The sequence below is a fragment of the Homo sapiens genome, chromosome 15, assembly GCF_000001405.40.
Source record: "Homo sapiens chromosome 15, GRCh38.p14 Primary Assembly".
In the NCBI taxonomy this organism is placed as follows: domain Eukaryota; kingdom Metazoa; phylum Chordata; class Mammalia; order Primates; family Hominidae; genus Homo; species Homo sapiens.
This window is the reverse complement of record NC_000015.10, coordinates 75,409,114-75,436,146: the sequence shown is the minus strand read 5'-3', so window position 1 is coordinate 75,436,146 and position 27,033 is coordinate 75,409,114. Positions and strand designations below refer to the sequence as shown.

The 27,033-nt window shown below is 42.5% G+C and overlaps 1 protein-coding gene across 12 annotated transcripts in view; it reads left to right on the top strand.

The window, feature by feature from the left end:
* The window catches only part of SIN3A (SIN3 transcription regulator family member A), an 86,437-nt gene that overhangs the window by 19,669 nt on the left and 39,735 nt on the right, over positions 1-27,033 (top strand). For all 12 annotated transcript variants that reach the window (NM_001437463.1, NM_001145357.2, XM_047432362.1 and 9 more), the window contains 7 exons: positions 5,739-5,960; positions 13,324-13,500; positions 21,836-21,942; positions 23,102-23,384; positions 24,404-24,655; positions 25,861-26,013; positions 26,156-26,311. In NM_001437463.1, coding sequence (NP_001424392.1) covers positions 5,772-5,960; positions 13,324-13,500; positions 21,836-21,942; positions 23,102-23,384; positions 24,404-24,655; positions 25,861-26,013; positions 26,156-26,311 — 1,317 coding nt within the window. In that variant the 5' untranslated portion in view covers positions 5,739-5,771. The remainder of the gene's footprint in view (positions 1-5,738; positions 5,961-13,323; positions 13,501-21,835; positions 21,943-23,101; positions 23,385-24,403; positions 24,656-25,860; positions 26,014-26,155; positions 26,312-27,033) is intronic.

Below are 27,033 nucleotides of genomic sequence, written 5' to 3'. Positions count from 1 at the left end.
TTGTTTTTTTTTTGAGACAGAGTCTCACTCTGTTGCCCAGGCCGGAGTGCAGTGACGTTATCACTGCTCACTACAACCTTGCAGCCTCAACTTCTGAGGTCAAGAGATCCTTCCACTTCAGTCACTGGAGTAGCTAGTACCATAGTTGTGCGCCACCACTTCCAGCTAATTGTTTCTTTATTTTGTAGAGACAGGGTCATCCCATTGTTGCCCAGGCTGGTCTCCAGCTCCTGGGCTCAAGCCATCCTTGAGCCTCAGCTTCCCAAAGTGTTGGGATTACAGGCATGAATCACTGTGCCCAGGCACATTTTTCTTTCAATGCAAATTTTACATACAATGAAATGTACAAATCTTTAGTACATTTTGTATGTGTATATATACATACATGAGATCATGCTGTATGTATTCTATAGCTTACTGTTTTCTTCTTCTTTTTTTTTTTTTTTTTGAGACGTAGTTTCACTCTTGTTGCCCAGGCTGGAGTGCAGTGGCGCCATCTTGGCTCACCTCAACCTCTACCTCCTGGGTTCGAGTGATTCTCCTGCCTCAGCCTCCTGAGTAACTGGGATTACAGGCATGCGCCACCACGCCCAGCTAATATTTGTGTTTTTAGTAGAGACAGGGTTTCTCCATGTTGGTCAGGTTGGTCTCGAACTCCCAAACTCAGGTGATCCACCCGCCTCGGCCTCCCAAAGTGCTGGGATTATAAGCGTAAGCCACTGCATCCGGCCTAGCCTGCTGTTTTCACTTAATATGTCTTAGAGTTCATTCTTTGTACTTGTGGATAAACCCTGATCTTTCTGATTCCTACATAGTTTTCCATAATATGCATGATCACATTTATTTAGCTGATAGATATTTAGATTTTCATATTTTGCTGCAATAAATATACTCAGCAGATGTGTAGGATACAGGCCTGAAAGTGGAATTGATAGTTTCAGTATTCCAAAATCTAGTATGTTTTAGAGTTCATTTCTTATACTCGTGGATAAACTTTGATCTGATTCTTACATAGTTTTCCATAATATGCATGGGATGGGTATGCACATTTAAAATTTTAATAAATACCTACAAGTTGCCAGCTAAATAGGCTGTACCAATTAAAGCCTCCTCCATCAGTGTTTCCCTGTATCCTTACCCACACTGTCATCTTTTTTTTTTTTAAATTGCTTTGGAGTAAATTACTTTTTTTTTTCTTGAGGCGGAGTTTTGCTCTTGTTGCCCAGGCTGGAGTGCAGTGGCGCGATCTCGGCTCACTGCAGCCTCTGCCTCCCAGGTTCAAGCGATTTTCCTGCCTCAGCCTCTCGAGTAGCTGGGATTACAGGCATGCACCACCATGCCCGGCTAATTTTGTGTTTTTAGTAGAGACAGAGTTTCTCCATGTTGATCAGGCTGGTCTCAAACTCCCGACGTCAGGTGATCCACTCGCCTCGGCGAACCAAAGTGTTAGGATTGCAAGTGTGAGCCACGGCGCCTGACCTTTTATTTTTTTTTTTTTTGAGACAGTTCCACTCTATTGCCCAGGCTGGAGTGCAGTGGCGCGATTTCGGCTCACTGCAACCTCCACCTCCCAGGTTCAAGTGATTCTCGTGCCTCAGCCTCCTGAGTAGCTGGGATTACAGGCGCCCACAACCACACCCGGCTAATTTTTGTATTTTTAGTAGAGGGAGGGTTTCACCATGTTGGCCGGTCTGGTCTTGAACTCCTGACCTCAAGTGATCCGCCTGCCTCGGCCTCCCAAAGCGCTGGGATTACAGGCATGAGCCACCGCGCCCGGCCTACTTTACACGTTTTTTATTACTAGTGAGGCTATATATGGTTTTAGAGGGCAAGGGCTGAAATCATCTACCAACTTCATATCTACTCACTGAACATTTGCTTTTAATGAATGAATGCTACTAAAGCATTTCTGCTTTATTAGGTTTAGGCTGAAGAAGGATGAGTTAGCTAAGTGTGTGAAAGGTTAAAAAAAGCTGAACTTGCTCCCTGCATGTGTGCCTTAAATAAGTAAAGGGATTCTTCCTTCACTTCTTCTCTTCTGTGAGAGGTAAGGTAGTGAAGTAGTTAAGAGCCAGGCTCTGGAGACAGATTTCCTGGATTTATATCACAGCTTTGCCTCTTACTAGCTGTGCAACCTTGGGCAGTTTACTTAATCTTTGTTTTTCAGTTTCCTCATTCATAAATTAGAGAACACCTTGCTTATAAGGTTGTTGTGAAGGATGATCAGGGCCTGAAACCAGGAGGTATGATTAGAGCGGAAGCAATTTATTTGAGAGAGAGTTAGGAATAGAACTTTGAGTGGTAATTGTTTGTTTGTTTGTTTGTTGTTGTTGTTTTTGAGATGGAGTCTTGCTCTGTCGCCCAGGCTGGAGTGCAGTGGCATGATCTCGGCTCACTGCAAGCTCTGCCTCCCGGTCCACGCCATTCTCCTGCCTCAGCCTCCCGAGTAGCTAGGACTACAGGTGCCCGCCACTACGCCTGGCTAATTTTTTGTATTTTTAGTAGAGACGGGGTTTCACCATGTTAGCCAGGATGGTCTCGATCTCCTGATCTCGTGAGCCACCACGCCCGGCCTATGAGTGGTAATTGTTAAAGGAATAAAGTATGGTTCAGAGAAAGTTCAGCCTCTGTAGTGTTGTAGAGGTGGTATGGAAAGCAAACTCTGGAGGTGGATGAAGTTAAGTACCATATGAAATCCCAATCACTTAATAAAAGAAACGATATTTTAACAGCCAAAAGATAGAGTATGATATCAGAATAAACCATAGTACTGTAATACTTAATGTATGAAAAGCTCACTACAATCTTCTTTTTCCTTATAGACTGGTTCATAAACCAGCATTTGGAAATCACTAATGTAGGCTGATCCCCTCCTTTTGCCCCTGTTTGAAAACAGGGCCAAAATTAGAAAGCTTCATGGTAGATAGAGTTTGGAGTAGAATCCAGTTCTTTTTTGTTTGTTTTTATTTTTTGCCCTCAAACATTCTCCCATCCAACAGAATCCAGTTCTTAAAAGGTACTCTAGTGTTTTTTCTATAGTCGTGCCGTGCTCTTCACATCTGATTTTGGCTTATTATTTATAAAGTTTTTTTTTGTTGTTGTTATTTTTTGAGACAGTCGCGCTGTCCCCCAGCCTGGGGTGCAGTGGTGCGAATTTGCTCACTGCAACCTCCGCCTCCCAGGTTCAAGCGATTCTCCCGTCTCAGCGTCCCAAGTAGCTGGGATTACAGATGCGTGCCATCATGCCCAGCTAATTTTGTATTTTTAGTAGAGACTGGGTTTCACCATGTTGGCCTGGCTGGTCTCGAACTCCTGACTTCAGGTGATCCACCCACCTCGGCCTTCCAAAGTGCTGGGATTACGGGTGTGAGCCACTGTGACCAGCCTATGAAGTTTTTGTTTTTTAAACCCAGTGCTGCCCTATCATAACATTTCTATAATTTTTTTTTTTTTTTTTTTTTGAGACAGAGTCTCAGTCTGTTGCCCAGGCTGGAGTGCAGTGGTGGGACCTCCCCTCATGCAACCTCTGCCTCCTGGATTCTAGCGATTCTCATGCCTCAGCCTCCCAAGTAGCAGGTTTTACAGGTGTGCGCCATCACACCTGGCTAATTTTTGTATTTTTACTGGAGACAGGGTTTCACCATGTTGGCCAGGCTGGTCCCAAACTCCCGACCTTAGGTGATCTGCCTGCCTCAGCCTCCCAAAGTGCTGGGATTACAGGTGTGAGCCACTGCATCCGGCCAATAAAGTATTGACTTCATTTTTGGTTACAGAGGTTAATCTCCGATGAGTTAAGCATCAGTTTTAAACCAACAGAACCCAAGACCAAACCACTGAAAGTCATGAACGTATATAAGAAATAGCTAAAAAGACATTTTACTCTACCTGTGATTAGACTCAGTTCCTCATCCCAAAACACGCTGAGGTTTAGTGTTCGTAGTTGATTAGTGGCAAATAACATGCATAAATCTATATACTCAACCTCTTAATATGTCTAAAAGGTTTTTGAATACTAAGCTAAACATGCTATTTCATGCTAGAAAAACATAGGAAAGCATAACTAGCTAAGACATTTTAAATTATTTGTCCTCAGCAGCTGTCAGAAACGTTCTCAACTCCATTTAACTGAGTTCCACATATTATCACACACAAAGCTGAGAGACTTAGTCTGAAGTTATATAGGCCACAGAGAGCATATTTGTGGCTTGAGTTTACAAATAGATAAAAGTAGCCAGCTTGCAAATTAATGGGTTGTGCTGCTGTGTCAGGGTCCCACTTAGGTATGTGAAATGTGAGAAAAACCTGAGACAGGATTTCAGAGCTAAGGATTAGAGTGGCAGGCAGATTGAGGACTATAGTGAGGACAAAGAAAAGGTGAAACAGCCATGGAGAGTCCTTGTAAAGACTACTTTCCCTTCAGGGCTTGTGTGCTCCCAGAGGATAAAGAAAAGATCTTGGGTAGACTTATGAATTAGGTAAAGATTTTTTTTTTTTTTAACTTAACCGTATTTCAGATGAGGGGGTGGCTTGCCAAATCTCCCACTATTACTGTAAATTTTATCTTCTTTCCATAGCAGTGGTATCTTATTTAAGAGATTTTTTTGGGACTGGAAAAGTGGTGGGGCCTTTTTTCTTTGGATGGCTGATTCATTCTTTCTCACTGATGGTGTGTTATGCTTGTGTTAGTGATACTGATATGGAAAAGCTCTGAAGACCCAAGTAGATTACTGGGCCAAGTAGATTACTGTGTCCTGCAGGAATGAAATTGTCTCCCACGGAGGTATTATTAAGCTAAGAGAATCTCTTCTTATAACTGTTAAAACCAGAAGAAAATTTAGGAGTGATCTGTTCCAACTTTTCTTATTTTATAGTTGGAGAAACTGAAATTCACATAGAATGAGGAACTTGTTGAAGTTACGTAGCATCTTAAATTGGCAAGTCTAGAATCTTTGTCTTCCCATTCCTGGCACGGTATTCTTTCCATGATACCATTATAATTGTTGAAACAAATTTTAAATTAGACCACAATTATAGTAGTAGGTTTTGAGAGGATTTAAGAAGAAGCACTTGAGGCCGGGCGCGGTGGCTCACGCCTGTAATCCCAGCACTTTGGGAGGCTGAGGCGGATGGATCACAAGGTCAGGAGATCGAGACCATCCTGGGTAACTCGGTGAAACCCCGTCTCTACTAAGAATGCAAAAAAAGTAGCCGGGTGTGGTGGCGGGTGCCTGTAGTCCCAGCTACTCGGGAGGCTGAGGCAGGAGAATGGCGTGAACCCGGGAGGTGGATCTTGCAGTGAGCCGAGATGGCACCACTGCACTCAGCCTGGGCAACAGAGTGAGACTCCGTCTCAAAAAAAAAAAGAAGAAGCACTTGAATATTTTTGCAGCATGTAGATATGTAATTAATATTAGGAGTGATAGCATTTGAGGAGAAAACTAGAGAATAAAGGGAAACAAGGTTGTGTTTATATTTTTAAATTGGAGCGTATTTTTCAACTTCATAATACCAAATTAATTAAAATTATGTTATTTAAATATTTGTCTTTTTCAGTTATAACTTGTTCACTGTGTTGGGGGGTGGTATGCCCACATGCACTTAAACTTCATCACTAAGATGAAATAGATGATCAGTTCTGGGAGTCAAGCTTTTACTAAACTTGGGTGACTGGTCCTAAGTGGCGTACATCATACTGGAGTGAGAATTGACTTGCATGCTATTGCTTTTGGTTTCTGCAGGTTTTGTAGTGCATCCCTGAGCATGAGCACAGAATGAAGCGGCGTTTGGATGACCAGGAGTCACCGGTGTATGCAGCCCAGCAGCGTCGGATCCCTGGCAGCACAGAGGCTTTTCCTCACCAGCACCGGGTGCTTGCCCCTGCCCCTCCTGTGTATGAAGCAGTGTCTGAGACCATGCAGTCAGCTACGGGAATTCAGTACTCTGTAACACCCAGCTACCAGGTAAGCTGGAGCCAACCAAGGGACTAGAATGAGGGAAGAGAAATAGTGGTTTTAGGCAATTATAAAACTTTTTTTAATACTGTGTTAGATATTAAAAATTGTTGAGTATGTGTAAGGTAAAAAAAAAAATAACTGTGTACTCACCATACAAGTTTTTAAAAAAAGAATGTTGTCATGACCTTTGAAGTTCCCTGCGTATCCCACTCTGCTCCCTTCTTTTCCCTCCCTTCAGAGGTAGCCACTGATCTAAACTTTGTATTTATCATTCCCTTGACTTTATTTACTTAAAAAAACTAACATAATTGTTTAGTTTCGGTATTTTTGAACTTTTATATAAATGGAAACATTTTCTTCTTTGACTCACTTTGTTTTAAAAACCCCATATTTTTATAGATCGCTGTAATTCCACCATTTTCACTGTAGTGTAAATTACATGCATATACTCAATTTATTTGTCAATTCTACTGTTGGACTATTGGGCTGTTTCCAGGTTTTTGCTTTTACAAAGGTGCTGCTGTGAACATTGTGATATTGTCTTAGTGCACTCAGTGGCAATTCATGACAAAATAAGAAGCTTGTGCCAGAATTTAAATCAACGCACTTATTAAGACAGTTTTGCTATTTATTTTTAAAAAAGACAGCTGAATTAAACATCATTGTAGTGAAATATGGCTGACTCTTGGACAGTGTGGGGGTTGAGGCACTGACTTCCCCCCATGCAGTCAAAAATACATGTATAACTTTTTTCCTTTTTCTTTTTTTAGGAGATAGTGTCTTGCTCTGTGGCCCCTGTTGGGGTGTAGTGGTGCGATCATGACTCACTGCAGCCTCAAACTCTTGGGCTCAAGCAGTCCTCCCGTGCCCTAGCCTCCCTAGTAGCTAGGACTACAGGTGCACACCACCATGCCTGGCTAATTTTTATGATTTTTGTAGAGATGAGGTGTTGCTGTGTTGCTCAGGCTGGTCCTAAACTCTTGGCCCAAAGCTATCCTCCCCCAGCCAGCCTCCCAAAGAGCTGGGATTACAAGTCTGAGCCACTGCGTCTGGCCAATGTATAATTTTTGACTCCCCTAAAACTTAAATACAAATAGCCTATTGTCCAGAAGCTTTACCGATAACATAAATGGTTGATTAGCATGTATTTTGTATATTTGTCATATACTATATTCTTAAAATAATCTAGAAGAAACAAAATACTAAGAAAATCATAAGGAAGAGAAAATATATCTACCATTTATTAAGTGGAAGTGGATCATCATAAAGGTCTTCATCCTTGTCTTCACATTGAGGAGGCTGAGGAGGAGGGAGAAAGAAGATGAAGGGTTAGTCTGGCCATCTCAGGGTTGGCAGAGGTGGGAGAAAATCCATGTATAAGTGGACTTGTGTTGTTGCTGAGTGCAGTGGCTCGCACCCATAATCCCAACAGTTGGCGAAGTTGGAAGCATGAGGATTGCCTGAGCCCAGGAGTTTGAGATCAGCCTGGGCAACATAGCAAGCCCCGTCTCTCCTAAAAATAAAGATTAGCAGGGCGTAATGGTGCACACTTGTGTTCCTAGCTACTTGGGAGGCTGAGGTGAGAGGATCATTTGAGCCTGGGAGGTTGAGGCTCCAGTGAATATGCTTCCGCACCCAGCGTGGGTGACAGAGTGTGAACTTGTCTCAAAAAGAAAGAATTAATTAATTAATTTGAAAAAATAAATAAAAAATTAGCCAGGCATAGTGGTGTGCATCTGTAGTCCTAGCTACCCGGGAGACTGAGGTGAGAGGATTGCTCAAGCCCAGGAAGTCAAGGCTGCAGTGAGCTGTGATCAAGCAACTGTACTTCAGACTGGACAACAGTGCAAGACCCTGTCTCCTTAAAAACAAAACAAAAACCCGTGTTATTCAAGGGTCTACCATCGTTGGTTTACATTGTGGTGCAAACTCCTTAACCTGTTGGAAACCAGTCAGCAGGTTTGAGGACATACAAGAGTTTGTCAAGTACCTATGAAAGGGATTGCTGTGTCACAGGGTATATGCATCTTTAGCAAGTTCCCCCAAGCATTGTATATTCCTGTTCTATGTCCTGACCAACACTGATCATTCATCTGTTACTCTGTTTTGTAGAAGTGAAGAAATTTGGTTTTTGCCCTTTTTTATTATGAAAGTAATGTATCACTTTGGTTTTTTTATTTTTTATTTTATTCATTTATTTATTTATTTATTTATTTATTTTGAGATGGAGTTTCGCTCTTATCACCCAGGCTGGAGTGCAGTGGTGCGATCTCGGCCCACTGCAACCTCTGCCTCCCGGGCTCAAGTGATTCTCCTGCCTCAGCCTCCCGAGTAGCTGGGATTACGTGCACCTGCTGCCATGCCTGGCTAATTTTTTGTGTTTTTAGTAGAGATGGGGTTTCGCCATGTGGGCCAGACTGGTCTCGAACTCCTGACCTCAGGTGATCTGCCCCTCTTGGCCTTCCAAAGTACCGGGATTACAGGTGTGAGCCACCACGCCTAGCCTATTTTATTTATTTATTTATTTATTTTTGAGACAGACTCTCTGTCTGTTGCCCAGGCTGGAGTGCAATGGTTCAGTCTTGGCTCAGTGCAGCCTCTGCCTTCTAGGTTGAAGCGATTCTCTTGCCTCAGCCTCCCGAGTAGCTGGGATTACAGGCGTGCACCACCACGCCCAGCTAATTTTTGTATTTTTAGTGGAGATGGGGTTTCGCTGTGCTGGCCAGGCTGGTCTTGACCTCAGGTGATCCGCCTGTCTGCCTTCCAAAGTGCTGGGATTACAGGCGTGAGCCACTGCACCCGGCCTTATTTTATTTTTTTGAGATGGTGTCTCGCTCTGTCGCCCCAGCTGGAGTGCAGTGGCGTGATCTTGGCTCACTGCAACCTCTGGCTTCCAGGTTCAAGTGATTCTCATGCCCCAGCCTCTTGAGTCGCTGGGATTACAGGCGCAAGCCACCATGCCCGGCTAATTTTTGTATTTTTAGTAGAGACAGGGTTTTGCCATGTTGGGCAGGCTGGTCTTAAACTCCTGGTTTTAAGTGATCTGCCTGCCTTGACCTCCCAAAGTGCTGGGATTACAGGTGTGAGCCACTGCACCCTGCCACACTTTGATTTTTTTTTAAAAAAAGGATATAAAATGACTTTTTTTCTGTCACACCTCAGATTTTCTCCCACTGGTGAATTTCTTGGGTATCCAGTTTTATATGCATATACAAGCTCATCTATATCAACCTGTCTAGCTATCTAAATTTACTTTTTTTTTTGAGACAGAGTCACACTCTCGCCCAGGCTGGAAGGCTGTGGCATGATCTCAGCTCACTGCACCCTTCACCTCCTGGGCTCAAGCAATCCTAGCACCTCAGTCTCCCAAGTAGTTGGGACTACAGGTGCATGCCACCACACCTGGCTAATTTTTGTATTTTTTCTATAGAGACAGAGTTTCACCATGTTTCCCAGGCTGGTCTTGAACTCTTGGACTCAAGTGATCTGCCCGACTCGGCCTCCCAAACTGCTAGGATTACAGGCATGAGCCACCTCGTCCGCCCTTTCTGCTTTTCTTTTTGTACAATGTGGATCATACATTACATACTATTGTGCTGTTTGCTCTTTTCATTTAATATATAGTGGATATCTTTCTACTTCAGCATATAACTGGTCTGGGGAGGCCTTCAACCTCATTTGTTAGTGACCTTAAAAATGTACGGCTGGTAATGGGAATATAAACTGACGTAATCTTTTTTGAGAGCAATTTGGCAGTTTGTGTCAGATGGTTTTGTTAGTTTTTGACCTGGCAATTCCATTTCTAGGAATTTAGTATAAAAATATAAAGAAGAGGAAATGCAGCTGAAGTAGGAAATGGTGATTCCTTAGGTGTCACTCTTCCTCAGGAGTCCCCTTGAGGCTGTCTAATCCCTTCCTGTGGGGCTGGGGCAGCAGTCAGAAGACTGCCAACAGATGGCATCTTTTAGGACTTGGAAGAAAAAAAAGTTGCTTGTTTACCTTGGGTGATTACTTTCATTATCTAAACAGGTTAATGACTGTTTTCTACATTTGGGATAGTTAAATTTCTTCCGAATGGAAACTATAATGTGTTTGTATAAGTCAGTCTAGTGAAAGCCTGTAAACCCTGTAAAAAACATGCATGTTGGAATACAGAAGCTCAGAATACTAGCCCATCTTTGAGGTACATTAGAGCTTTTAGAATTGTCTAAATAGTTTCTTTTTACTCTTAATACACCTTGTTTTGTTTCTGTGGATTTATGCATAGTTGCTTGGTTTCTCCCTCTCCCTCATTTCTTCATCTCCCTCCAGGATAATTTTTATAAAAGTGAGGATTTGAAAAAAAGTTTTATTCTCTCTTAAATTGTGGTATAAAACTTAACATTGTTTAGAGAAAGAAAGTTTCATGTTATTTAGTCTCCTTATTTTGGGGATGGGGCATTTGGGCATTTGGACAGATTGTTGTCTTCTGTGGTGATCAACAATTCTGAAAAAGGAAAAAAGTTCTGAAAAAAATTTTGTAGCATTTCTTGAAATAGATATAGAAGGAAAGTAGTTTTGGCTTTTATTTCCTCAAACTTGTAAGAGGACAGGAGAAAGACTGAGATAAAAGAATAGAAAAGACATTTGTTTGAGGCCAAACCATCAAGAATTAGGGGGAAAAAATTTATTTTACATTAGATACAGTGCTCGTAGCAAATCAAGATAAGCAAAATAAGCCAAGTAGGCCAGGCGCGGTGGCTCACACCTGTAATCCCAGCACTTTGGGAGCCCAAGACGGGTGGATCATTTGAGGTCAGGAGTTCGACACCAGTCTAACCAGGGTGAAACCCTGTCTCTACTAAAAATACAAAAATTAGCTGGGCATGGTGGCAGGCACCTGTAATCCCAGCTACTCAGGAGGCTAAGGCAGGAGAATCGCTTGAACCTGGGAGGCACAGGTTGCAGTGAGCCGAAATTGTGCTACTGCACTCCAGCCTGGGCGATAGAGCGAGAGTGTTTCAAAAACAAAAAGAAACAAAGTAAGAGTCATCTTTAATTCTGTAACCACAAGATTAAATGCCAACATTTTGCTATATATTAGTTGTCTAAGGTTTGAAATCTTTTTATCATACTGCTTTGTAATGTGCTTTTATTATTTTTTTGAGACAGGGTCTTTGTCAGCCAGTGTAATGTGCTTTAAAAAACTATTTAAAAGTTTATATACAGTACATGAATATGTTCAACTTGTGGATTATGAACTTTTTTTTCAGATTCAAATATATCCATATATATCATTGTTGAAGTGTGGCTTAAAAATGGCTAATCTGTATCCTTTGTTACTAGTTTGTAATGGCATAAGTATAGAAATTGTTTAGAAACTATTAGAGCAATTGGACATGATCATTTTTTATTTGTAAAATCCAGTAATGAAAGTTACAGGCTGGGCACAGTGGCTTACGTCTATAACCCCAGCACTTTGGGAGGCCAAGGCAGGTGGACTCCATACCCAAGAGTTCAAGACCAGCCTGGGCAACATGTTGAAACCCTGTTTCTACAAAAAGTACGACAATTAACCAGGCATGGTGGTACATGCCTGTAGTCCCAGCTACTCGGGAAGCTGGGGTGGGAGGATCATCTGAGCCTGGGGAGGTCAAGGCTGCAGTGAGCCATGATTGTACCACTGCACTCCAGCCTGGGTGAGAGAGCGGGACCCTGTCTCAATAAAAAGGTAAGAAAAAAAATTACGGGTTTATGTATTTTTGTTGTTTTGTTTTTTGAGATGGAGTTTCACTCTTGTTGCCTAGGCTGGAGTGCAGTGGCGTGATCTCAGCTCCCCGCAACTTCCACCTCCCTGGTTCAAGCAATTCTCCTGCCTCAGCCTCCCGAATAGCTGGGATTACAGGCATGCGCCACCATGCCTGTCTAATTTTGTATTTTCAGTAGAGATGGGGTTTCTCCATGTTGGTCAGGCTGGTCTCGAGAACTCCCAACCTCAGGTGATCCGCCCACCTCGGCCTCCCAAAGTGCTGGGATTACAGGCATGAGCCACCACGCCCGGCGGGTTTATGTATTTTTTATTTCACTTTCATAGTAATTTATTTTTATTGGATTTTTATAAAAGTTGTGGTCCCTGATGGATTGAAATTTTAAGAAAAAAACTCATCCTTTACCACAGACAGTTTGAGATAAACTATATAATTTTTTTTCTTCTTTTTGGAGACAGAGTCTTGCTCTGTTTTCTAGGCTGGAATGCAGTGGCATGATCTCAGCTCACTGCAACCTCCACCTCCCAGGTTCAAGTGATTACCGTGCCTCAGCCTCTCAGTAGCTGGGATTACAGATGCGTGTTACCACGTCCAGCTATTTTTTTTGGTATTTTCAGTAGAGACAGGGTCTTACCATGTTGGCCAGGCTGGTCTCAAGCTCCTGAACTCAAGTGATCTGTCTGCCTGGGCCTCCCAAAGTGCTGGTTACAGGTGTGAGACACTGTTCCCAGCTAAACTATATATATATTTTTTTGTTTGTTTGTTTTTGAGATGGAGTCTTGCTTTGTCGTGCAGGCTGGATTGCAGTGGCACGATCTTGGCTCACTGCAAGCTCCGCCTCCTGGGTTCACGCTATTCTCCTGCCTCAGCCTCCCGAGTAGCTGGGACTGTAGGTGCCCGCCAACACGCCTGGTTAATTTTTTGTATTTTTAGTAGAGACGGGGTTTCACCATGCTAGCCAGGATGGTCTCGATCTCCTGACCTCGTGATCCGCCTGCATTGGCCTCTCAAAGTGCTGGGATTACAGGCATGAGCCACCGTGCCCGGCTATATAATTTTTAATAGCTACAAATAATTTTGTTATAACTTTGGTGGGCTGTAATTTATTTAACCAGTTCCTTTTGTGGAAAATTTGGGTTTCTTTCTTTTTCTTTTCTTTCTTTTTTTTTAGAGACGGTCTCATTCTGTCACCTGGGCTAGAGAGCAGTGGTGTGATCACAGCTCACTGCAGCCTTGAACTCCTGGACTCAAGCAATCCTCCTCCTTTAGCCTCTGGAGTAGGTGGGACCACAGGTGCATGTTGCCATGCCTGGCCAAGTTTTTATTTTTTGTGGAGATGGGTGTCACTATGTTGCCCAGGCTTTCTTTTCTCTTTTTAGAGACGTGGTCTCACTCTGTGGCCCAAGCTGGAATGCAGTGGCATGATCATAGCTCACTGCAGCCTTGAACTCCTGAGTTCAGGCGATCTTCCTATGTAGGTGAGATAGGTGTGAGCCATCACGCCCAGCAGAAATTTGGGTTTCCAATTAATTATCTTTGTGCATTTGTGTTAGTTATTTAGACTCATTTGGGGAAGAATGTACAAGCCTTGAAGTTTCCTGTCTGTATTTTGTTCACCCCAGGTTTCAGCCATGCCACAGAGCTCCGGCAGTCATGGGCCCGCTATAGCAGCAGTTCATAGCAGCCATCATCACCCAACAGCGGTGCAGCCCCACGGAGGCCAGGTGGTCCAGAGTCATGCTCATCCAGCCCCACCAGTTGCACCAGTGCAGGGACAGCAGCAATTTCAGAGGCTGAAGGTGGTATTCAGCTCTTTTTCTTGGGTCAAAAAATTTATCTTTAGCAGGAAATACTGGTTGCAGCTTGTTGGTTGTGGTGGTACAACTTCTAACCTGAGATACTAGCTGTCGAATCACAAGTTTTACCGTTTTTGTTTTGTGAAATTTGCTTATGTTTCCTATCTTGGCATCAGTGCCTGATCCAGAGAAGAATATACTCAAATGTTTGTGGACTGTATGAATGCATGTCGGTCAAATGTTATCAGGATTGTGGGGCCATTTTAATACAAAATAAACCTTAAAATTCATTTTTTGGCTGCTTCCTTTTGAACTCTCTATTGAGCACATATATGATTGGCTACAGGTTAGTACAGTAAATTGGCCCAGTAATATATCTTACAGTTCAATCTTTTTAAATTCTTAAAAATTTTTTTTTTTAGTTTTTAGTTTCAGAGATGGGAGTCTCACTGTGTTCCCCAGGCTGGTCTCAAACTGCTGGCCTCAAGTGATTCTCCCATCTTGGCCTTCGAAAGTGTTGGGATTACAGGTGCGAGCCACTATGCCCAGCTCATGCCTGTAATGTTCTTATTACCTTTATCTTTTTATTCCTGTTTATGAATAGCTGAATTGACTCACATCATCAAGTCCATTCTTAGTAAAACACATGCTCCTTTTTGGGGGGAATCTTTATAAAGTTCAGGGAAAACTGTAACTGTGAATGAATTATCAGTGTTTTCATATTTTCTGCTGAGTATGTGTGGTACGTTTTCAGTGCTTTGAAATTCATGAGGCATCCCTGGAGAAGTGAAGCTTGTGTTCCCAGCTAACCTTGTATCTCTGACCACTTGAATGTTACTTTTCAAAATATGTGATTGTTGCAGCAAGTGTTCAGGTTTCAATTTTTCTAATTTTACGTTTATATAAAATTAAGTTCAGGAAATAATAAATGGAGGAACTCTGAAGAGATGTTAAATCTTCATTTGGTTATTGCAACCTACTTATGTTGCTTGCAGGCACGAATGAGAAATAAACCCTCTAAGGACATATCCATATGCAGCAAATAGTTGTTTCTTCTGTTTTCCCTGATACTTACTTTAGTTCTTCTTGATCCCTGCCCTCGTTGGTGTGGATTCTTGGGAACTTGTTTAATATTGGCCTAAGAGTATTAAATGCTACATAAATATTATAAAGTACAGCAAAGCTATGTGATTTAGAGTAATTTTGTAAAATTTACTCTCTATATTGGCTTACATAGTATTGACTAATGCATAGCCTTTTAAAGAGAGTACAGGTTTTTTAGGCCTGAAGCTTCACTCTGGATTCTGTCTTTGGGAAAATGTGTATAAGGAATATTGATGTTTCCTTTAAAACATTTTCAGTCTGTTGTAGAGTGATGGCTGTGTACCAAAATGTATTATTGCTGCGGGCTTAGCACTTTACTAAGTCCTGAAAATATTTTTTTTAAAACTTGGTTGTGCGTGATTTAATTCTGTATTAACACTGTATATTCAGTAGTTATACTTTAATGTTGCAAAATAGCTTATAAACTTGCTTATTAAACTAACAAAAACATATGTATTTCTATAGCCTTTTTCAATCAACCCTATCAAAGCACAACACCAGTTTTTACCCACCTTCCTCACAGGACTCTTTGGTATAAGTATATGGATTATGTTTTGTTTGCTTTATGGAAACTGGCAAGGAAACAAGGAAAGGTTTTGGATTTGGGGTTATAGAGTGAGTCATAGATAGAGTTAGGATTTCTTGTTGTGTTCTTTTAGTCACAAGCTCTTGACTATATTCCTGCATAAAATAACTTGTTGAATTTCCTTTCTGATGAGGAGAGGTAAAATGCTTCTTGTACCTCCATGTAATTTAACTCAGTATTCCCACATTGCCTGTCATTTTTGGATCAGTCTTAAAATGCATTACAAGCATTTGAATCAACTTCAATAAATCATTTATATTCTATAATAATGTAGGCCGGGCATGGTGGCTTACACCTGTAATCCCAGCACTTTGGGAGGCCGAGGTGGGTGGATCACCTGAGGTCAGGAGTTCAAGACCAGCCTGACAAATGTGATGAAACCATGCCTCTACTAAAAATACAAAATGAGCCAGGCATGGTGGCGCATGCCTGTAATAATCCCAGCTACTCAGGAGGCTGAGGCAGGAGAATCGTTGGAACCCAGGAGGCAGAGATTGCAGTAAGCCAAGATCATACCACTGCACTCGAGTCTGGGCGACAAGAGTGAAACTCCGTCTCAGAAAAAACAAACAAAAAAAAAGAAATGTTCAGTGAGAATGCTTACACATTATTTCAAGCCTCAACATTGTCTTTTTTTTTTGTTTTTTGTCTTTGGTAGATTGGTGGTGACAAGAAGGGATTTGAACGATTTGAGGCATGTTTGGTGTTATTTAGTTATTGAATGTCAGCAGCAGTGATATTTGGTACATATTTAGCAGGTTATCTTTACAGTTGCTTGTGTTTTTCTCTCCCAACAAGATTGTAGACTTCAGGAGATTCGGGGCCTTAATAGTAAATCCCTGTTGAAGTGAGCTAAGAAACTTTATCAGCAGAGTCTAAGGGTCTCCCCAAGTGCTTCCTTAAATCTGTAGCTTCTAAATAACTACATCCAAGTTTTTTTTTTAAGTTGTGCTACCTAGAACTGTATACATGCATTTATAGAGAGTTTATATAAGAGTTGGACTATGCTTTAGGTGATGAGAGAATTTCCTCACTATTTTTACATGTAGGTGTCTTATTTATTATGTGAGTGTCATGCAGAGTTTTTAAAGCATAGGATTATTCTATAACTTTTATTTTACTTTTTTGTTTTTTTGAGACAGAGTCTCACTCTGCTGCCCAGGCTGTAGTGCAGTGGCGCCATCTCAACTCACTGCACCCTCCCCTGCCTGGGTTCAAGTGATTCTTATGCCTCAGTCTCCCAAATAGCTGGGATTACAGGCATGCACCACCAAGCCTAATTTTTGTATTTTTTTTTTTTTTTACTAGGACGGGGTTTTTCCATGTTAGCCAGGCTGCTCTCAAACTCCTGGCCTCAAGGGATCCACCCTCCTTGGCCTCCCAGAGTACTAGGATTACAGGCATGAGCCACCACACCTGGCCTATAACTAATTTTTAAACAGTGGTTTGCTTGGTTTGCTGTGACTTTCAGTACCTTTTTGTTTCAGACATATACATATCACACATAATTGCTTTCTTTTGGGTTTCTGTACTTTTTCCGTCTCTGCAGTAGTTACCTTATACCATACCATGTCTTATTGATAACTGTTCTTTTGTTGTGTAATGATGCATGCTATTCTTAAATATCTTCCAAAGTCTTGGTTCCTTTTGCAAACTTAATATATTTTGTGTTCACTTAAGTTGGTCATTAATGAAACATTTTAGTATGGAAAGTTCAGAATATGAATTAAAATAGTCCATTGAATTTCAACAGAAATTGTCATGATATTTGTATAGAAAAACTAACCATCAAACAAGTGGGTATTGACCAACTATACAATCTGATTTCTAGCAACACCGAAACACTGATTAACCATGGCCGTAATGGAAGTCTGAAGAACTCTTAAACAGCCATTTGTCTCGGGGCCGGGTGCGGTGGCTCACGCCTGTAATCCTAGCACTTTAAGAGGCCGAGGCGGGCAGATCACGAGGTCAGGAGATCGAGACCATCCTGGCTAACACAGTGAAATCCCGTCTCTACTAAAAATAGAAAAAAAAATTAGCCGGCCGTGGTGGCGGGCGCCTGTAGTCCCAGCTACTTGGGAGGCTGAGGCAGGAGAATGGCGTGAACCCGGGAGGCAGAGCTTGCGGTGAGCCGGGAAAGCGCCACTGCACTCCAGCCTGGGCGATAGAGCGAGACTCTGTCTCAAAAAAAACAAAAACAAAAAAGCGGCCATTTGTCTCAATCCATTAGTGCTGCTATAACAAAATACCTGAGACTGTATAATCTAAATAATAGCAGTTTATTTCTCACAGTTCTGGAGAAGTTCTGGGGGCTGGGAAATCTAAAATCAAGGTGCTGGCCGGGTGCGGTGGCTCACGCCTATAATCCCAGCACTTTGGGAGGCTGAGGAGGGCAGATCATTTGAAGTCAGGAGTTCAAGACCAGCCTGGCCAACATGGTAAAACTACCGAAGATACAAAAAAATGAGCCAGGCATGATGGCATGCACCTGTAATCCCAGTTACTCTGGAGGCTGAGGCACGAGAATCGCTTGAACTCAGGAGGTGGAAGTTGCAGTGAGCCGAATTTGTGCCACTGCACTCCAGCCTGGGTGACAGAGTGAGACCATGTCTCAAAATAAATAAATAGGCCAGACGCAGTGGCTTACGCCTGTAATCCCAGCACGTTGGGAGGCCGAGGCGGGCGGATCACGAGGTCAGGAGATTGAGACCAGCCTGGCCAACATGGTGACACCCCATCTCTACTAAAAATACAAAAATTAGCTGGGCGTGGTGGCAGGCGCCTATAATCCCAGTTACTCAAGAGGCTGAGGCAGGAGAATCGCTTGAACCCGGGAGGCGGAGGTTGTATTGAGCTGAGATCGTGCCTTTGCACTCCAGCCTGGGAGACAAGAGCAAGACTTCATCTAAAAAAATAATAATAATAATAAATAAAATAAATAATAAAATAAAATCCAGGTGCCAGTTGGTTTGGTGTCTGGTGAGGGCCTGAACTCTGTTTTTCGAGATGGTCCCTGAATGTGTGTCCTTACACTGGAAGGGAGAAGGGCCGAAGGGACTAACACTGGTTCACTCCAGCCCTTTTATAAGGTCCCTAATCCCATTCATGAGGGCTCCACAATCACTTTCTGAAGGCCTCACTTCTTAATATCATCATATCGGTGATTAAGTTTCGATGTAAGAATTTTGTGGGACACATTTCAGACCACAGCACCAGTTAATGATTGACTTGAATGTAAATGTTCCATTTTGCAACAAATCAAAAGACTATCTATGCCTGGCCAGGTGTGGTGGCTCACATCTGTAATCCCAGCACATTGGGAGGCTGAGGCAGGCGGATCAGTTGAGGTCAGGAGTTCAAGACCAGCCTGGCCAACATGGTGAAATCCCATCTCTACTAAAAATACAAAAAAATTAGTTGGATGTGGTGACATGCGCCTGGAATCCCAGCTACTCAGGAGGCTGAGGCAGGAGATATCACTTGAACCCAGGAGGCAGAAGTTGCAGTGACCCGAGATTGCGCCATTGCACTCTAGCCTGGGAGACAAAATGAGACTCCCATCTCAAAAAAAAAAAAAAGAAAAAGACTGGCTTAAATCACATCAAATGTTTATTTCTGAAATTTCTTAAACCTGATATTTTGTATAATTTTAAATATTTAGGCTTCAGTTAAACTACCAAAATAAAACTTAACGTATCTCAGAGTAAATAGGAAACACCTAGTGGGGATTTCTTTTGGGTGTCTCTGTCCTAAATCAGACTCATAGCTTAGCCTTTCCAACCTGTTCTTCTTTGTGATAGGTCAGTTTTTTTTCTCCCCCAGCCAAACTGTATCCAGCTTTAAAGATACTTTCCAAAAACAGTCATGGTATTTCAGGCAGAACATGGACAATCCTTAACAATGAGCTACCAAAAAAAAAAAAGCCACTATAAAACCCAGTGAAGTCTCATTTGATGCTCTGAACAGGGAAAGTTTAGAGTGAAGGTTGACACTTCACATTTAGCATGTTGTTTAACAACTTTTCACAAGCCAACCCTGACTTTCAGGAAGTGAAATGAAAATGGCAGGACTTATCTGAAGATCCACAGTCTAGAAAAAGCAACCACTGCTCTTTTGAGGGCTGCCATTTCAGTGGCATCACTGGAAAGTTTGACTGCCTGACATATTGGTAACCAGTTATTGGGGGTTAGGTCCCAACAGGTGTCTGGGTAAAAGGGAGTTAGGTCTGTGAAGGTGGGGAGGGAGAACAGGATGTAAAAATGAATTTGTTTTTCCATCCCACAAGGTGTTTGTGCCAAGGTGGCCATGTGTGTTAAAAGTCAGGGAATCTAGGCTGGGTGTGGTGGCTCACGCCTGTAATCCCAGGACTTTGGGAGGCTGAGGCTGGCAGATCACTTGTGGTCAGGAGTTTGAGACCAGCCTGGCCAATGTGGTGAAATCCTGTCTGTACTAAAAATACAAAAATTAGCCAGGCATGCTGGCGGGTGCCTGTAACCCCAGCTACTCAGGAGGCTGAGGCAAGAGAATCGCTTGAACCCCGGAGGCAGAGGTTACAGTGAGCCAAGATCGCACCACTGCACTCCAGCCTGGGCAACAATAGCAAAACTCTGTCTCTAAATAAATAAGTAAATAAAGTCAGGGAATTTCTTCTATAAGCCAAGAGGAAGTCTCTCAAAACTAGAAGGGAAAGGTGTTTTCCCCACGTCAGTCCAGCTTCAAAGACATTCTATTAGTGACCTGTGATCCTTCCCACCAAAACAACAATGAAGTGTTCTGTGTGCGATAACAACACTGCTTTAGAAAAAGCAAAACAAAATTCTGCATTTTTATAAAGCTTGATTTAAACAATGGTATTTCAAAATTTACAAACTTCATAACTTTATAGTTCAAACTTTACAGTCACCAGAAGTACACAGTTACCAAAAATGCACATGTTTCACTTGGCATCTCTAGCACCTTCAGCTTTCTGTGCCTGGTCTGTTTTGGCATCTCCATTTCCTGCAAGGTTATTCCCCTCCCTGCCAGTGTCAGCATTTTCCTTTTTCCCTTTGGGTACCTCCTCTCTCTCCTTTGCAGGGGACTTTTTTTTTTTTTTTTTTTTTCCTGAGACCGAGTTTCACTCTTGTTGCCCAGGCTGGTGTGCAATGGCATGATCTCGACTCACCGCAACCTCCGCCTCCTGGGTTCAAGTGATTCCCCTGCCTCAGCCTCCCGAGTAGCTGGCATTACAGACATGCGCCACCATGCCTGGCTAATTTTTGTATTTTTAGTAGAGATGGGTTTCTCCGTGTTGGTCAGGCTGGTCTCGAACTCCTGACCTCAGATGATCCTCCCACCTCTGCCTCTGAAAGTGCTGGGATTGCAGGTGTCAGCCACTGCGCCCAGCCTGCATCCTTTTTAGGGTTGGGCTCTGGCTTTGGAGGAGCAGGTTTAGCATACAACCTTGCGGATCTTCTCTGGGTTGTTCTTCACCTTGGCTCTATCTCCTTTAGCATCCCCTTCAGGCTTTCTCTTGGGTGTGGTGGTGATGTGGAAGGATGTAAGCGCTGAGTGCGGGATGCAGTGGCATGTGGGCTTTGATCGGTCCGAGAGTCACTCTTGACTGTTCTTCCTCAGTGCTCCGTGGCGGATCACTTTTGAATGCTGGCTCTCCCTTAGCTCCTCTATTCAGTCAGTTCCCCAATCCTGTCACTTCTACTACCCAAAAAGCTTTTTTATCTATGCAGTTCTCTCTGTTGTTCTGGGCCAGTACTATAATTCAAGCCACTGTTTTCACATGAGTTGTCCAGTTATTCCTGTAGCATACCTGGTCTTCCTACCTCCTTTCAATCTTTTCTGCTCTTGTGCCAATTTTTTCTCAACACTGCAGTCAAATTGCGTACACGAAAATGCAGATGATAAAAATCTAAATTGCTTTTTCACAAGATTTACAAATCCTTTCAGAATCTAGATCCTGCTTTTTTTTCTGTCTCATTTTGTTACTTTTCCTTCCTCTTCACTACAGATCCTCCAGCCAAACTAAACTGTTTTCAGATTTCTAAATATCCCATATCGTATCCTGTCTAGGATTTTACCCGTGCTGCCGCTTTTGATTTTCTTCACTGGTCTTCACTTTTGCTAGCTTATAGTCATCTTTAGGTCTCAGTTTATACATTACCTCCTGGGGAAGCCTCACTTTTTTTGGTGGAGAAGACGTGTCCTTCCCATGTCATCTCCAGGCATGGAGTGATTACCGGGTTACCCACTGTGTTATGATTCCTGACTACATACAAACAAATGTCTATAGACGAGGGGCTACAAATTATTTGTCATTGAATCCTTGGTACTCACATTGGGCCTGGTATGTTGCAGTTTAGTAGATACTTGTGAAATGAATTAATAAATGATATATCATTGTAATTATTCTTCACTGATCATTCTGTTCAAAATTTTCCAAGGCAAGGCTACAGATTTTATGAGTTGATTATTATTTTAAGCTTGAGTTTATTATTGGTATCCATACTAACTTTTAAGTATATATTTAATATATTTTTACTTCATTTACTGCATTAAGCATACTTAGGCATAAATAATTTGTTTTTGTTTTTTTTTTGTAATTATGAGCTTACTTTCTTTTTATAACCTTGATATTTATCCCTGCCTCAGGTGGAGGATGCGCTATCTTATCTTGACCAGGTGAAGCTGCAGTTTGGTAGTCAGCCTCAGGTCTACAATGATTTCCTTGACATCATGAAGGAATTTAAATCTCAGAGGTAAAAGATGTGTGATTGTACTCAAGCTTTGTATCTGGCATATTGATTTTGGAAGGAAGAGGATATAGTTTATTTACTGGAAGATAAAGGATGCTCCTTTTTGCAGCTGAATTTTCAAAATCATGCCTTTATTTTATGCATACCTTTATTGATGGAAATTATGGCCACTAGACTTTTTTATCCCTATTGGTAAATTTTCCTTAACTAAATTTTTTCCAGTGTTTTGTCTCAATCAGGGAAGTAGCACTGGTAGTGATTTAGGCTACTTGGTTTCTGAATTGGTTTAGATACCCTTATATTCTGGCATGGTTCACTGTTGTAAGAGTGTAACTCATCTGAACAATGTAGATGTGTGCTGAAATGATGTATACTGGTATATCAAAGAGTGAATCTTGTTTGGGATATGTAGCTTTATATATATCATCTGAGTATCTGCTTGGTAGAATTATTACAATGAACATATATTCTGTTAAAAATTTTGACCATTCCAAAAATTAGCCGGGCATGGTGGCGGGTGCCTGTAATCCCAGCTACTTGGGAGGCTGAGGCAGGAGAATTGCTTGAACCCAGGAGGCGGAGGCTGCAGTGTGCCGAGATTGTGCTACTGCACTCCAGCCTGGGCAACAGAATGAGACTCTGTCTCAAAAAAAAAAAAAACAAATTGTGGCCAAGTATCTTTGAGTCTAAAACTAAATGGCTTTGGAATTTCAGAGTTCGTGTGTTAATTTTAAAATGCGTAGATGATCTGTTTTCCTGTTTAGAGAAAACCTAGTAGAAAGTGAAATTTTGAGTGAGGTGGCTCATGCCTGTAATCCCAGCACTTTGGGAGGCCAAGGTGGGCGGATCACCTGAGGTCAGGAGTTCGAGACCAGCCTGGCCAACATGGTGAAACCCCACCTGTCCTAAAAATACAAAAATTAGCCGGGTATGGTGGCGCATGCCTGTAATCCCAGCTACTTGGGAGGCTGAGGCAGGAGAATCACTTGAACTCGGGAGGTGGAGGTTGCAGTGAGCCAAGACCCCAAGATTGCACCATTGCAGTCCAGCCTGGGCAACAGAGTGAGACTCCGTCTCAAAAGAAAAAAAAACATGAAATTTTTTCTTAACAGGGTGTTTGTTAAGCTTACAGTTTATCACTTTTCTTTTTGTTTTTTATCAGCATCGACACCCCAGGAGTGATTAGTCGTGTGTCCCAGCTATTCAAAGGCCACCCCGATCTGATAATGGGATTCAACACCTTCTTGCCCCCTGGCTACAAAATTGAGGTGCAAACCAATGACATGGTGAATGTGACAACTCCTGGCCAGGTTCATCAGATTCCCACCCATGGCATCCAGCCACAGCCTCAACCACCACCCCAACATCCTTCCCAGCCTTCAGCCCAGTCAGCCCCAGCTCCTGCCCAGCCAGCTCCTCAGCCCCCACCTGCCAAAGTCAGCAAGGTGAGCACTTGGAAAATATTGCATCAATATGAATGCATCCCTAGAGAGCACCTTCCTTTGATGTTTCCCCTTTATATAAGACTTAGATACTGAGAAACAAAGTTACAAAGATTTCGTCATAGAAAAATGCTGTATGAAAACTTCACTATGACATGGTTCACATTTACACATCACTTACTTAGGTATCTATTTAAATCAACACAGCAACAACTTTCAAGGTCTTTCTTTTTACAGTTTCTGCTTATAAAACCATGAACATCCCAACAGGTGGTGACTTTGTGTAGTAGTAGTTGACAGCACAGATAGAAACCATCGTCTTATCCTGGTCAAATTGTGCTGCTGCCCACATGGTTATTTTATGAAAGTTATTTCACTAACTAGATTATATCAAGCTAAGTAGAAGATCTAATGAATAGTGATAGTGATGGTGATGAAGATGGGGTGTTCTTGGTCTAGAACCACACTGTCTGACACAGTAGCCACTAGCCACATAGGACTATTTAAATTAAATTCAGTTTTTCATTTGCACTAGCTTTCAAGTGCTCAGTAACCTCATGTGGCTGGTGGCTATGTATAAGACAGTGCAAATAAAGGACATTTCCATCATCTCAGTTCTACAGGACAGAGTTGGCGTAGAAGACTTTTTTATGTGGAGCTACTGCAACAGTTGTCTTGTTGTTGACATCAAAAGGCTATGTAGAATGAGATTTTTTCTATGTGTACTTGTTGAGCTACTAAGCTAAAACATTGCATATGAAAAATTCTTCCCTGTAATTGGAGATGGCTCCAGTTTTAAGGTTTTATTTAGAAAATGTGAGACTGAAATATTTGTATCAGCATGTTTGAACCGCCTACAACTCCCACTGCTGCCCAGTATGATTTGTGTTGGACTAAAATGACCTGGCCTGAGTGAGTAAATAAAGGATATACGTTGACACCTTGTTTCTCTTTAGTTTGAACTTTCCTTGTATCAACTCATCTATGCATCTGAAGAGAATAAAGATTTCTTTTCTTTCTAGCCCTCCCAACTGCAAGCACATACTCCGGCCAGTCAGCAGACTCCCCCACTTCCACCGTATGCATCCCCACGTTCTCCGCCGGTCCAGCCTCACACACCAGTGACAATCTCGTTGGGAACGGCCCCATCCTTGCAGAACAATCAACCTGTGGAGTTTAATCATGCCATCAACTATGTTAATAAGATCAAGAACAGATTTCAGGGCCAACCAGACATCTACAAAGCATTCCTGGAGATTTTGCACACATATCAGGTAAGGAGTGCCCATTCAGCCTGTCTTAACCAGGTCACCCTCTTAGGGCATCTAGTCCAATAACAAGTAACCATTATTGTGTCCATTAATTCATACTGGAAATTAACCAGTTAGAAACTATCATGCATGTTTTTAAAGCCAGTTTGTTTGTTTGTTTGTTTTTCGAGACGGAGTCTTGCACTGTCACCCAGGCTGGAGTGTAGTGGCACGATCTCAGCTCACTGCAGTCTCCGCCTCCCGGGCTCAAGTGATACTCCTGCCTTAGCCTCCCTAGTAGCTGGGATTACAGGCTCCGCCCACCACGCCCAGCTAATTTTTTGTATTGTTAGTAGAAATGGGATTTCACTATGTTGGCTAGGCTGGTCTCGAACTCCTGACCTTGTGATCTGCCCACCTTGGCCTCCCAAAGTGCTGGGATTGCAGGCGTGAGCCACCGCCCCCATGCTATAAAGCCAGTTTTATTTGCCTGACTTGATTGCCCTGCAACATTCAGTCAGGATTTTTTTTTTTTTTTTTGAGACAGAGTTTTGCTCTTTTTGCCTAGGCTGGAGTGCAATAGTGCAGTGTCGGCTCACTGCAGCCTCTACCTCCCGGGTTCAAGTGATTTCTTGTATTTTTAGTAGAGACGGGGTTTCAACATGTTGGCCAGGCTGGTCTCAGGTGATCCACCCGCCATGGCCTCCCAAAGTGCTGGGATTGCAGGCATGAGCCACCGTGCCCGGCCTCAGTCAGGATTGTTAGTCACTGTCCCATGAAATGAAACTCAGTTTTATCTGGGACAGTTAGATGGTGATTTATATAGTCTAGTTAATGTACAGTAGGAGGAGGAGAAATTTCTAAGGTTTTGTCAGTTGGTAGTGGTCCCCTGGGCATTAATATTTATTGCCCTAGGCCGGGCATGGTGTCTCACGCCTGTAATCCCAGTACTTTGGGAGGCCGAGACAAGTGCACTCCAGCCTGAGCAACAAGAGTGAAACTCCGTCTCAAAAATATTTACTACCCTAGTTTTGAAAGGAATTGTCATCCACCATCTTCAACTTTTTTTTTTTCTCAACTTGAAAGTCTGTGGTCAGAACGGGTGCTAAGAACATAGACTTTCTTCTTACATGCAGCCTAAATAGATAACAGTGATTCCAGAAAGCGTGCAAAGATGAGTGACTCAAAACAGTAGCCCAAATGATCTCTTTTCATTTGCAATTCCTCAGAAAGAGCAGAGAAATGCCAAGGAAGCTGGAGGAAACTACACTCCAGCATTGACAGAGCAGGAGGTGTATGCCCAGGTTGCTCGTCTCTTTAAAAACCAGGAAGATTTGTTGTCAGAGTTTGGACAATTCCTACCAGATGCCAACAGCTCCGTGGTATGTTTTTTTAATAAGAATTACACTATTTACTATTATTATCTTAGATGAGTTGGAAAACTGTGCTCAGAAGGGGACTTTTCCTAGATGATATTTGTTTGCTTTGATAAGAGCATTAATCTCATTCATGTGTCTTAATCAGCTTTTAAGCAAAACAACTGCTGAGAAGGTTGATTCTGTGAGAAATGATCATGGAGGCACTGTCAAGAAGCCCCAACTGAACAACAAGCCGCAGAGGCCCAGCCAGAATGGCTGCCAGATCCGCAGACATCCTACAGGAACCACCCCTCCAGTTAAGGTGAGAATGGGCAGCAGCTGCTCATTTTGACACTCACAAGTATTTCTAATGGAGAGGTACTCTAGAGGTGGTCATGTGTTTTGTTGTTGTTGTTTTTTTTTGTTTTTTTGAGACCGAGTCTCGCTCTGTCGCCCAAGCTGGAGTGCAGTGGCACGATCTCGGCTCACTGCAACCTCTGCCTCCCGGGTTCAAGCGATTCTCCTGTCTCGCCCTCCCGAGTAGCTGGGACTACAGGCGCATGCCACCATACCGGGCTGATTTTTTTTTTTTTTTAGTGGAGACGGGGTTTCACCGTGTTAGCCAGGATGGTCTCGATCTCCTGACCTCATGATCTGCCCGCCTCGGCCTCCCAAAGTGCTGGGATTACCTGTGCCCGGCAGTCATGTGTTCTTAAGTGTGTTAACGGTTGGGTCCTAGATATTTGGAGGAAGTTAGTATTGTGTCACAGAAACTCAGTGCAGAGTTTATCTGGCTTTGCAAAAGAGTATTAGAATAACATTGATTGCTTGGATTACTGTACTTTTCTGAGTTCTTTATTATCTCTCCTTTGCAATGAGCTGTCATTTCTTTAATGTTTTGGTTGCTACTAAGAATTTCCAATACTTGAAATTTTTTTCCCTTCTTTTTTTTTTGAGATGGAGTCTTGCTCTGTCGCCCAGGCTGGAGTGCAGTGGTGTGATCTCAGCTCACTACAACCTCTGCCTCCCGGGTTCAAGCAATTA